Source organism: Homo sapiens, chromosome 18, assembly GCF_000001405.40.
Source record: "Homo sapiens chromosome 18, GRCh38.p14 Primary Assembly".
In the NCBI taxonomy this organism is placed as follows: domain Eukaryota; kingdom Metazoa; phylum Chordata; class Mammalia; order Primates; family Hominidae; genus Homo; species Homo sapiens.
Window position 1 is genome coordinate 53,394,132 of NC_000018.10, and position 12,321 is coordinate 53,406,452.

The window sequence follows — 12,321 nt, forward strand, 5'->3', positions numbered from 1 at the left end:
CAAACAAAATGTACATGGAGCCACATGACCTGGGCTCATGGGTTGGCTTTGCAACCTCCTGTCATGAAACTTAACCTGCTCAGTCTCATTTTTCTCATCTATATGATGGAAATATCCATACTTACTGTAAAAACAATGAGATTCTTTGTAGTTAAGTAGGAAGACAGAGGTAGGTGATATAACTTGACAGAAATTCCTCATTAAACTAGAGCAGGATCTCAGGTGACCCAATGGCATCATCCAGGGATTTCCCCACAAGAGTGTCCTTCTAGTTCCATTTACTCCCAAATCTATAATACAGATGCTCATGTTTTGATTGTCTAAAACCCTGTATTAACTTTCCTGATCAAATGGAGACATTTTCTATATGTTTTTCTATTAAAGTATTTAATCATATGATGTTTTATATGAATTTCTATTCAAAATATATCCATCGAGTGTTGACTAGTGCTTACTAGATATAATATGGATGTTACAGAGGATATGAAGTTGTGCAGGACTCAGTCTCAGCTCTCAAACTGCATGCAACTCAATGGGAGGAGCATATAACACATGCTTAAAATTACATACAACAAGAGACAATGCATGAAATAATGTAGTTAAGATTTATTTAATACTTTCTCTGGGCCAAACGCTATGCTTTACTTGTCTTAGTTTGCACTTTAAATAATGCTATGAAGTCAGTGCTATGGTCGTCTCCATTTTACACACAAGAAAACTAAGGCTCAGGCTGGGCTCAGTGGTTCACATCTGTAATCCCAGCACTCTGGGAGGCCGAGGCGGGTGGATCGCCTGAGGTCAGGAGTTCGAGACCAGCCTGGCCAACATGGTGAAACTTTGTCTCCACTAAAAAAATACAAAAATTAGCTGGGCGTGGTGGGGGGGCGGGGCGCCTGTAATCCCAGCTACTTGGGAGGCTGAGGCATGCGAATCACTTGAACCCGAGAGGCTGAGGTTGCAGCGAGCCAAGATCGTGCCATTGCACTCCAGCCTGAGTGACAAGCACGAAACTCCATCTCAAAAAAAAAAAAAAAAAGTAAGGCTCAGACAGGTACCATCTGGTTATTCTGTGCTCACAAAGATAACTGGCCATGTTGCTCCAAAGTATTTCTAGGCTTTTTTAAGATAAGCTGTAGCTTTCTATGAGGTTTTAGAGGAAACTCAGTAATTCATGGTATTTATAGAATGCAAAGGTGTCAGTCTAGAACACAAAGACGATCTTACTTGTTGGCCTCTCAAATGCCAGTGGTGTCTGTGCTCAGAAACTGTTTTTATTGAGATATGATCTTTCCCTCTTACCTAAAATACTTCTTATTGCCTCATTTCTCCCTTTTATTTCCATTTCTAAGACTTAGAGTTGTTCATGATCACGAAGGAAAGCAAAAATGGAAGTAATATATCTGCATGTCAGATACTAGCTGACCACTTTGTGTTTTATTTGATGGAATTTCATCTTCCTGATTATACCAAAAATATTTACATTTATTTAGGGCATATATTTTTACAGGTTTTTCTTATTTTTTATTTTTAAGATGGAGTCTCGCTCTGTGGTCCAGGCTGGAGTGCAATGGCCTGATCTTGGCTCACTGCAACCTTCATCTCCCAGGTTCAAGCAATTCTCCTGTCTCAGCCTCCCAAGGAGCTTGGACTACAGGTGCATGCTACCATGCCCAGTTAATTTTTGTATTTTTAATAGAGATGGGGTTTCACCATATTGGTCAGGCTAGTCTTGAACTCCTGACCTCGAGTGATCCATCCGCCTCGGCCTCCCAAAGTGCTGGGATTACAGGCGTGAGCCACAGCGCCAACCTACAATTATTTTTAAGAAGACTTCTGATAAATATTTGAGGTCATCACTTTAATAGGCTGGATAGGCAAATCACCGAAATGTTATTAGTACAGTTACATATTTATTTGGTGGTGTAATGAAATATACAATTTTCATAACTATAACCTAAGAAGGATTCGTAGTAGAATTAAAAAAAAAAAGATATCCCTTCCTTCAGTAGTAAGGGTAAGATACGTATGATATGAGTGGGGGAAAAGAGCTTTTCTTAATTATTTTAGACATAAATAGATAATAAATGTAATGTTTTAAAATAAAAGTATTTAACTTCGAAGAACGATACCTCATACCAAGTACAAAATCATATTTATAAGAGGAATAGTCCCATTTTTTTTGCTTATATGGAAAATATACTTTAATGGATTAAACCTTGCATCATGTTTTTTCTTTATTACCCGTTTTGGTATTTTGAGTAAGCAATAAAGAACTATAATTTACTTTCTACTAAAATATCTCTAACTTGTCATTTAAAAGACAAAGAATGAATTCAGAAGACTTCAATAATACCAACACCACTTTAAACACCAATGTAATCCTTTAGTATTTATCCAAATTGCTGTTCCTTCCTTGATCAATTGCTCCAGTTACCATCGTTAAATGTTTGTTTAATGTGAAGTCTACACAAAGAATGAAAACCATGTGACTCAGCATTGCTTTTGTCTCATGTTCTCTATAAGATGTAAATGGATTCTGGAAGCACTAAAAGTTTAAACCTTAAAGGCTTTTTGAGATACATGATGAGCAGTAGAACTCTAATCAATTAACTTCGTTACAAGTGGAAAATAATAACAATGGTCTATTTAAAATATACAACATTAAAACTTATGCCAAAAAAACCACAGATTTTGATTATAAATGAATTAAGTTCAATGCAGAAAATTTCAAAAATTGAGTTGACAGAAGGAAGTGGAATTTGTCCTGTTGTTCTGGTTCTGTAATAAAGGTAAGTATTTAACTTTGAAAAAAGATATGTAAATACCAAGCACAAAGTGATATTTATAAGAGGCATAGTCTCATATGCCTGATCATATGGAAAATATGCTTTAACCTATTAGACCTTTCAACATATCTTACCTCGGAAAATTTTCTATCTAGTAGCCCCTTTGGACAACCATAATACCTAATTTTATTGGTTATATTGTAAATGTATAATCAGCCAGCGTGAACTGGTTAATAGATGGGAATTCGAGTCAGTGCTATGCTCTACTCCTCTGCTGTTTGGGAGTAGATTACTTTTGTGTTAGCTTATTTAATAGTCTTTTTATATGTCTTGATTTACCAAGTTGATAGAGTTTATTTTTTATCTCTTTGCTATTTCCTACTTGTATAGTCAGAAGACACAACATCTCTAAGTTACACAGCAACAGGCCTCAAACCAAACACAATGTATGAATTCTCGGTCATGGTAACAAAAAACAGAAGGTCCAGTACTTGGAGCATGACTGCACATGCCACCACGTATGAAGCAGGTATGTGAGGAAATGTCTACTTTGGACCCTTGATAATGGTGTTTCCCAGGTTCTGTGGAAATTAGAACATGTGTTCCCTATGGTGTCTCAATTATACCTTATCCTATATAAAATAGTTCATCCTCTATAGTTCATAGCACTTTTATATCTAAGAGTATTCTCCTCACACTAGAAAAAACATGAATCTCCAATGGCTTAAGTAATCTGCTTTCATGATTAATACACGGTTTCTTCAGGGTGTTAACTCAGGGGATCTGACTATAAATCTTCTTTTCACTACATTTAAGTAAAGAACAGAAATCCATCCAATGAACTTGGTCCAAAACAGTTGTGTCTTTGAACAATTGTCATGGTAGGTATTTCTCATTTTGAAAAAAAGAAAAATAGATGCAAAAGAAAGCATTGCATTACAACCGAAGTCTCATGGATATTTACTGTGAATAACCTTGGCTGGATATGGGAAGGAGTTTCCAGGTGGTTTTGTTCACTCCTGGGAAATGGGGTAACATAATAGAAGACCTTTATGCAATTTTAAATAGTTCAAATCTAGGGTAATGCAATTCACTGTAATTTTTACTGGTCACATTTACTATGGATCGTAAATGTAGAGTTTATAACTTTAACAAGGATGCAGTGTACTTGACATTTATAGTTCACAGAAATCCAACTTCTGAAGAATCCAGGGCTTAACATGTTTTTTTGATGGGTTTCATAATATATCATATTTGTGGGTAAACTGCACCAATTTTCAAATTTTAAAAAAATGCTAATAAAGCTGTTTCCTGGGTAAGTTGAATTTATCTTTCCATTAGAATTTGTCCCATGGGATTGCAGTTCTAATTTTTAACTCCAACTATTATTTTAACTATTAGAGTTCTAGTGAGAATATTTTTACATATCTGTGGATACTTCTTTCAACAAGAAGATTTCTAGTTGACCTAATTTAATTTTAACATCCTATTTTTCTATTTTACCTGTTATTATCTCTTCTTCTCAGAATTCCACCCTGAATGCACAATGTTCACAGCTTCTTAGGGTTAATAAGACCAGCCGGATGAGATACATACTATTGGATAGAGTAAACAAGTAAACAGTCTACTCTTCCTTTTTACTTGAAAGGAGATGAATGTAGATAAATGTGAAATAGTAAGAAATTTGGCCTTCCCTGTGTGAAAGAGAAGTAGTAGTATTTTCATCTTAATACAAGCAAATTCATTCATTTTTTTCCTCTCATAAACATAAAATGCACACCAACATCTGACTTGATATATGCACCCTATTGATTTCTCATCAACCGCCTAGCCTTGTAGGGACACCAGTGGTGAGACCCATTGCTAACAAAAAGATACTAACTTTTAGAAATGTGGTTAGTAGAAAAGGTAATAATCTGGACAAAGGTGTAAATAGCACATGGATAGGATCCCTGAGTGATGATGAGAAGTAAGAAGTAATTCACAAGTGTCTGCAGGTTTATAACTGTGAGAAGGAAATTCAGTGAATAAAATAACTCTAAAGTTTGCTTCTAGTTCTGCAGTAAGATAAAGACCATATGGGGCTACACCATTATGTGTTGAAATGGCTTGTGATAAAGATACGAGTGACTGGAAATTTTTTGAAATCAAGCATTTCATTCTGTCCAGATAATGAATCCTTCATTTGGTTTTGGTTAACTGAAGTAAAATAAACGTGACAGGAAGGACACTTTAAATAATTAGGCCTTGGAAAGAGACAGGCATCAGCCTTATTATTCCTAGGCTGTAGAAGTGAGGAACTGTTGGTTTATCCCTTCAAGGTGCTACCATAGTAATTATTTGACTCCACCTTTTTTATTTCCTTGTATGTAGATTCAGTGTCACAAAAGAGAGAATATTATTGGCATCTTTTGAGACAGGTGATCACACAGCTAAGGAGAAGATGGGATAAGACCATGGAATTCCCAACTGATATTGCTACCAAGCTTTCATGATATAGAGGAGAGCTTGTTTTCCAAAGAGAAAAAACAAGTCCTCCTTTAAAAGGAAGAGGAGAGGATGGGATGCTGGACAGTGCAAGTAACAAATGCCCAATACAATTCCTATGGCTGAAATCTTCTGAAACTTAAATGTTACCTTCCATTCATGTACTTAATAAAGAAATGGAAGTATAGGAAAAAATGAGAGCCAAAGAAATCAGAGGGGGCCGGGCGCGGTGGCTCACGCCTGTAATCCCAGCACTTTGGGAGGCCGAGGCGGGCGGATCACGAGGTCAGGAGATCGAGGCCATCCCGGCTAAAACGGTGAAACCCCGTCTCTACTAAAAATACAAAAAAATTAGCCGGGCGTAGTGGCGGGCGCCTGTAGTCCCAGCTACTTGGGAGGCTGAGGCAGGAGAATGGCGTGAACCCGGGAGGCGGAGCTTGCAGTGAGCCGAGATCCCGCCACTGCACTCCAGCCTGGGCGACAGAGCGAGACTCCGTCTCAAAAAAAAAAAAAAAAAAAAAAAAAAAAAGAAATCAGAGGGCAGTGCTTGTCTAGTGGACCAAGATATTAATTAAGGGTTTTTAATAATGTTAATTTATAATTGTCATGCCTTGAGATACGAACTTGGTAAGGAGAATATAGTCTATGTCTTTGAGCGAATTGTGGTCCAATAAAAAAGAAAAAGCATTTTTTTAAATTCCTGAAGTAATATCAGAAATATAATCATAAAATTGTGGACAAGTTAAAATCAGAGCAAACAAAGTACAGATTCTGTCTGGAAAAATAAGAGGAAGTTTCACAAAATAAATGAGGTTTGAGCTATGGCTTAGTTGAATTATCACATACTAATTCCAGGGACTTCCAAAGAATGGAAAACTCATGTGCAAAAATACCCAAGCAGGTGTCAGAAAGATGATGTGTTAAAGAGATACTTATGATTGGCTCAAAGTGAGTTGAGCACAGTGTTCATGGGACAACAAGGGGAATGAAGTACATAAAATAAAACAGAATATAAATCCTAGAGGTCCTGGTGTTTATTTTTATTTATTTATATTTAATCCAAAGAGAATGGGTAGACAATGAAGAATTTCTAGAAATCATTCCAGGCAGAACTCAAGAACTCAGGAGAAGAGCAAGGCAGAGGAATTCTGCTCGACTTAGTAGGGATTATTGAAATTGTGAGGGCCATATTATTTTTCAAATATTAAGGAACAGTGTGCAGTTCACATAATAATGCTAGACATTTAGGTCATTAATTCCAATACCAAATTTTTATTCACCAATATTCACATGACTTGAGGAAAAATAAGAGCTTGCACAGCACCTGAATTAGATTGGTTGTTAGATTTTTTTAAATTAAATAACTAATTCTTCATTGTATTATATTGATAGCTAAAGTTGAAGAATCACTTTATCCTTTTTGAATGCGTAACAGATTCAGTGAAGCAATCTAATCATCCTCATTTGACTATTTTCTAAACAAACATCAATTTGAATTTTAACATAGTTAAGACAAAACAGGCTATTTTCACTAGTAAAAAAGACAAAGATTTTAATTACTTCCAGAAGTGGAAAATTCCTTATTACGTTTGATGTATACTAATCTAAGTTATTTTGTGACTATATCTTAGCTTCCTATTCATAGCCGGGAAAATATCCTGAATGACCTCTCTGTGAGAATAATCCTTCTTTAAGACAGCATTGTCTTTTTAGTATTTTGCCATAATGAATCTGCATTTCTTGCAAGAATGTCCGGATATGGTTTCATTAAGCCATATATATCATATTATATTAGACTGCATATGTTATTTTATACTGTATTAGTATCTATGCAGTCTTTTTACTAAGGGATCAACTATACTCCACCTATGTTTTCTTCTCCTTCATTCCCCCCTCCTCTTCTAATTCTCTTTCTCCATCCATCCCTTCTTCTTTTTTGAAAATGTGAATATATTAAGTACATTGTCAATGATTAAAATTAAGTGCACGTTTGGTTAACCTGGAATCCCAGTGACTTTGAAGATCACGGTGTTGGAAAGAAAATAGTATGATAGATGGGAATGATTGATGTCTCCTCTATTTGGCTCATATTTGGAACACTATTCAGGAAGAGATACTAGAAATACAGTGTTAATAATGTCCAGATTCTGCAATATATGACCAACAGAAGTACGAAAGAGAATAGGGTGAAGATGAGTTCAGAATTAGAGACTGATTTCTAACTATCTTTTCCTACACAGAATTTTTATGTGGAGACCAGGAAATTACTCCAGATCCCAAACACGGAACCCAATACGTTCTGAATCTGCCTTTGTTAGACTAAGGGTAGCAAAGTTGCCGTGGATAACAGACTTGTGGCATTGTGAGCTACCCAGAAGGAAAACTTGTCTTCCAAAACGTAGAAAGTGAGAGAGCAGATTGGAAGAAGCCTGGAAGATCCTTGGCTAGCTTAACCAGTTTGCTGCCACCTTTAAATATTTAAAATTGTTTTGAGTACAACATGTGGGAGAAGTAGTCTTAGGAGCAGGACTTCGTGCCATCTTACTTCATGCTGGATTGATACTAAGACACTCATAGTTATTTTTTACGTCTTCTATTTTAATTTCTCATGTGTGCCTTCCTGTTGGTTTAGAAGATGCCTAATATGTCACCTAGCTAAGATATTTTGACCCCAGTTTTATCTCATTTTAAAAACTTTTTGGCTTTTAAGGAAGTATAGACTTAGGTGACATTTTTATTTATAAATGCCTGCAGTTGTAACAGAATTCTTCTGAAGACATGTAATCATCCAGCGTGGCAACATAGACCCATCTCTACAAAAATCAAAATTAAAATTAAAAATTAGAGTAGTGGTGTGCAACAGTGGATCCGGCTACTCAGGAGGCTGAGATGGGAGGATCACTTGAGCCCAGGAGGTTGAGTCTGAAGTGAGCTATGATTGCACCACTGCACTCCAGCCTAGGTAACAGAGCAAGACCCTGTCTCAAAAAAAAAAAAAAATAAATAAATAAATAATAAACTAGAAAAAGATATGTAATCATCAATCTCACTAAGTATACATTTCTTCATTCTTATAATGATTCTTTTATTTTTAGTGTGAGCCCACTTGAAATACCAGTTGTACTTTTCTCCTTTATATTCACACATACTCTCTTCTGTTCTCTATAGTCACACCTTGGGAATCATTTGATTTCCATAAAAATTATTAATTTTTGTATCCTTGTTTGCTTATTCAAATCCTTGAAATAAACTGTAAATGGCAAAATAGACATGATATACTTCTTGATAGATTCTGAATGTCAACATCATGATGAAATTTCCAACAATGTTTATTTTCTTTCACATCCAATGACAAGGCCTTATCTCTGTCTCACCTCACAGCCCCCACCTCTGCTCCCAAGGACTTGACAGTCATTACTAGGGAAGGGAAGCCTCGTGCCGTCATTGTGAGTTGGCAGCCTCCCTTGGAAGCCAATGGGAAAATTACTGGTAAGCATCTCCACTTTCTCTCCCAGCATAGCTCTCCCTTGTCCTATAATTGCTTACCCCCTACATGAGCTGCTCCTGCCTTTCGTGTGGCATTATTCTGTCCCTACATCTCAGCTGACTCCATGACCCTTTTTGATTGTTTCTTCTTTCCCCTTTTGACCATGGAATTCTTCTAATGGTGCACACACACACACACACACACACACACACACACACACACACACACGTCATTTGATTTGCTTCACGAAAGATGTGTATTTCAATTAGAATAGACCTTTTTGTTTTTCATTCTCTGAAGCATTAAGACCACTTTCTAATGGAGTGCCCTGAGTATAAATGTCTATAAAGAAGCTGGTTGTTTGGCAATTATGAAACACAAAAGATGCTTAATGACTGTGTTTGTGTGTGTTTGTGTGTATGGCACATACGGAGGTTTGGGGATTTTTAGTTTCTCACTTAGGTTTTAGCTTCTTACTTAAATCATAAAGTTCACAAAACACTTAATATTGACTGACAGAAATTGAACATAATGAATATTTCACAGTGACAGATTTTATTTTGCCAAATATTGCTGATAACATCAATGCCTAATTAAAGCATCCATTAGAAGCCTGTAATGTTAATTTAGTATGAAAAATATAATGGAGTTCTATCAGAGATTTTGCATTTAAATGATCACTTTAGGCTTTTAATAGATGTCTCCATAGCATATAATTATTATGAAAAATATTGTATAACTCAAAATGTGAACATTATAGTCTAATTAACTTGAACCATTGGGTTAGGAACATGGAAGAGTCACTCCTTTTTTCCTTCTTTTTTTGCATACAAGAGCTGGATAGCACTATTATAAATTAACAAAGTAATTCAGCCGTCCCGTGATACAGAGAGATAAGCATGGAAATTATACTTTCAGAAGGCACACTTACTTTATGTAATTTACTTTCTGAATTTTGCAAAATGAAAAGATAACGTGAAAATTCCAAATAGGATTGAAATTTAAGTTGAAAATTTGTTTTCTCTAGGAAATTGCTCTTAGCACAATAGCAAACAGAATTTTTATTCGAGCTGACAAATATGGAAAAAGAAGTGAGGCACAAAATTTCCCCAAGATCTTATATGTTCACTTGTCAGTGTGCCAGGCCTTTTAAAACTGAGACTGGCTCATTCCAATTTTCTTTTTTTCCCCCTCATTGTTATAATCTCTTTTCATTGGTTCTATGTCAGTAGTTGTGTAGCTTTTGATTTGTTTATATTTTATTTTGTTATAATCAATTATTTATAAGCTTATGGGAAATCAACAGTAATAAGTCTGAGGAGAAAAAAACAGAAAGCTGTCTAAATAAAAACAGGTTCTGATAGAAAAAGATGTTTTTGGCAAAGGAAAAATAAGTCATATTCTCCACTCATTTGAATTCTCCACTCTTATTTAAGTAAATCTTATCAGTCAGTGTAAACAATAGAATAAGTTTTTAACTCTGGAAGAAAGCTTAATTTTGCTTCTTCAGGAAAAAAAAAAAAATAGAAGTCTAGCCCATATTAAGAAATGCAAATTTGACTGGGCGCGGTGGCTCACACCTGTAATCCCAGAACTTTGGGAGGCCGAGGCAGGCAGATTACGAGGTCAGGAGATCGAGACCATCCTGGCTAACACGGTGAAACCCTGTCTCTACTAAAAATACGAAAAATTAGCCGGGCGTGGTGGTGGGCACCTGTAGTCCCAGCTACTCTGGAGGCTGAGGCAGGAGAATAGCATGAACCCACGAGGCGGAGCTTGCAGTGAGCCCCGTTCGCGCTACTGCACTCCAGCCTGGGCGACAGAGTAAGACTCCGTCTCAAAAATAAAAAAATAAAATAAAAAATTAAAAAAAAAAGAAATGCAAATTAATCTAAGCAATAAAATTGTATATGCCAAAATCACAGTGCATATAAAAGAAACTTTGTCCACACTCTTTACTTAGATTTATACGTTCAATGGATCTTACTATTAAAAATCCATTCTCTCACAGTGGAAAAATAAAAGTATGGGAGACAATGCTTTTGCCTTTAAAAGCCTGGCTTATTTATGAAAACAAAATTGTATTATCAAGTTGAGATATTCCTACTCAATTTAACAGGGAGCAAACAATAAGAACCCTTAAGAGAATTTCTGTGTCATGTGTATTTTGATTTATTTATTCAAATTACTTCCAGAAAATAGAATGATAAAATATTCAAAATACTACACCACTAAGCAGAGGGCACAAATTTGCTATTCTCAGCTTCCTGTGGAAGTGCAACAATTAATAATAAAAAGTAAAAAAAAAAAAAAAGAAATGAGCTCTTTCTCAGTGCGACCAGGTAGATGTGTGCCAAGGAGGGATGTGCTCTCATGTAACCTCTGTATTGTTTTGTTTTCCTAAATCTTTCATGTGTATGGCAGGCAGTAGAGCAGGATAGTTAAGAACTCAGGCTTCTAAGGGAGACACATGAGGAAGTCATTTAACATCCTTGAGTCCCACTTTCTCGGTTTCTCACCTATAAAATAAAGATAGTAATAGAACCGCACTAGAATAATTGTTGTAATACAGTGCTGAGAAAAGCCCCTGATACCCAGTGGGCACTGACACGAATCGGCTATTATTATTCCAGTTTGAAATCCATTCTAGGGTGAGGCTTTACTAATGTGCTTTATACAGAATCCAGATCATCAGTTTTTAAATATAAGTACTCAAAAAGATTAAACAAAAAAGGAGGAAATTCAGATAATCACAGTGCCTAAATTCTCTGATCATAAACTGGAAACTTAGGAATTTGGACTGACATTTTCAGAAGAAAATGATTCAAAATACATTAAGCATTTATTATATGCTTGGCATTCTTCTGAGATCTTTAGTATGATATAAATGATTACATATTCCTATTATTCCATTTTAAAATGAAAAGCTTAGGCCTTTCCTGAGTAAATAACTTACCCAAAATCAAATAAGCAAGAAGTGGCAGAGCTAGGATTTAAAACTCAGGTTTATACTCTTAATTATTACACTATGTTTTGCTCCAATTTATTAGTATTCTACTGGTCTAAATCAGTGATTTGCAGCTGAGATTTTAATTTAATTCATATGAGAAGGGACTGAGCATGGTAATTTTTAAAAGCTTCCCAAGTGACTTATTGTATAGCCAGAGATATGAAACATAGGCCTAAATAAATGCAGTGCCCAACACTATTTAAGATCTGAGACTAACACAAATAGAAGAGTTAGGTCTTTCAGAGATTGTTTCCTTATTAATACAGTCTAATATGTAAGGTTATATTCTCTTTTTCTGTGTCATTTGATAGCCTAGTTTAATTTGTCTCCCTTTTGTAAAATCATCAAACCACTTTTCTTCCCACCACCAGGATATAGCTTCTCAGTCTGATTTGCAGAAATTTCTTCCACTTGATATTGCTTTCCAGAAGGCAGATCTTTTTATTCCCTTTGTTACTTTCTCTGGAAAAGTGTCTATAGTAGAGTTAGGGATTCTGAGGTTTAAAAAAAAAAGAGAAAGAGGCCAGGCGTAGTAGCTCACGCCTGTAGTC

General features: G+C 35.8%; 1 protein-coding gene across 5 annotated transcripts in view; it reads left to right on the forward strand.

The window, feature by feature from the left end:
* DCC (DCC netrin 1 receptor) overlaps positions 1-12,321 on the forward strand; it is a 1,195,703-nt gene that overhangs the window by 1,053,935 nt on the left and 129,447 nt on the right. For all 5 annotated transcript variants that reach the window (NM_005215.4, XM_017025568.2, XM_017025569.2 and 2 more), the window contains 2 exons: positions 3,177-3,315; positions 8,655-8,762. In NM_005215.4, the coding sequence (NP_005206.2) occupies positions 3,177-3,315; positions 8,655-8,762 (247 nt within the window). The remainder of the gene's footprint in view (positions 1-3,176; positions 3,316-8,654; positions 8,763-12,321) is intronic.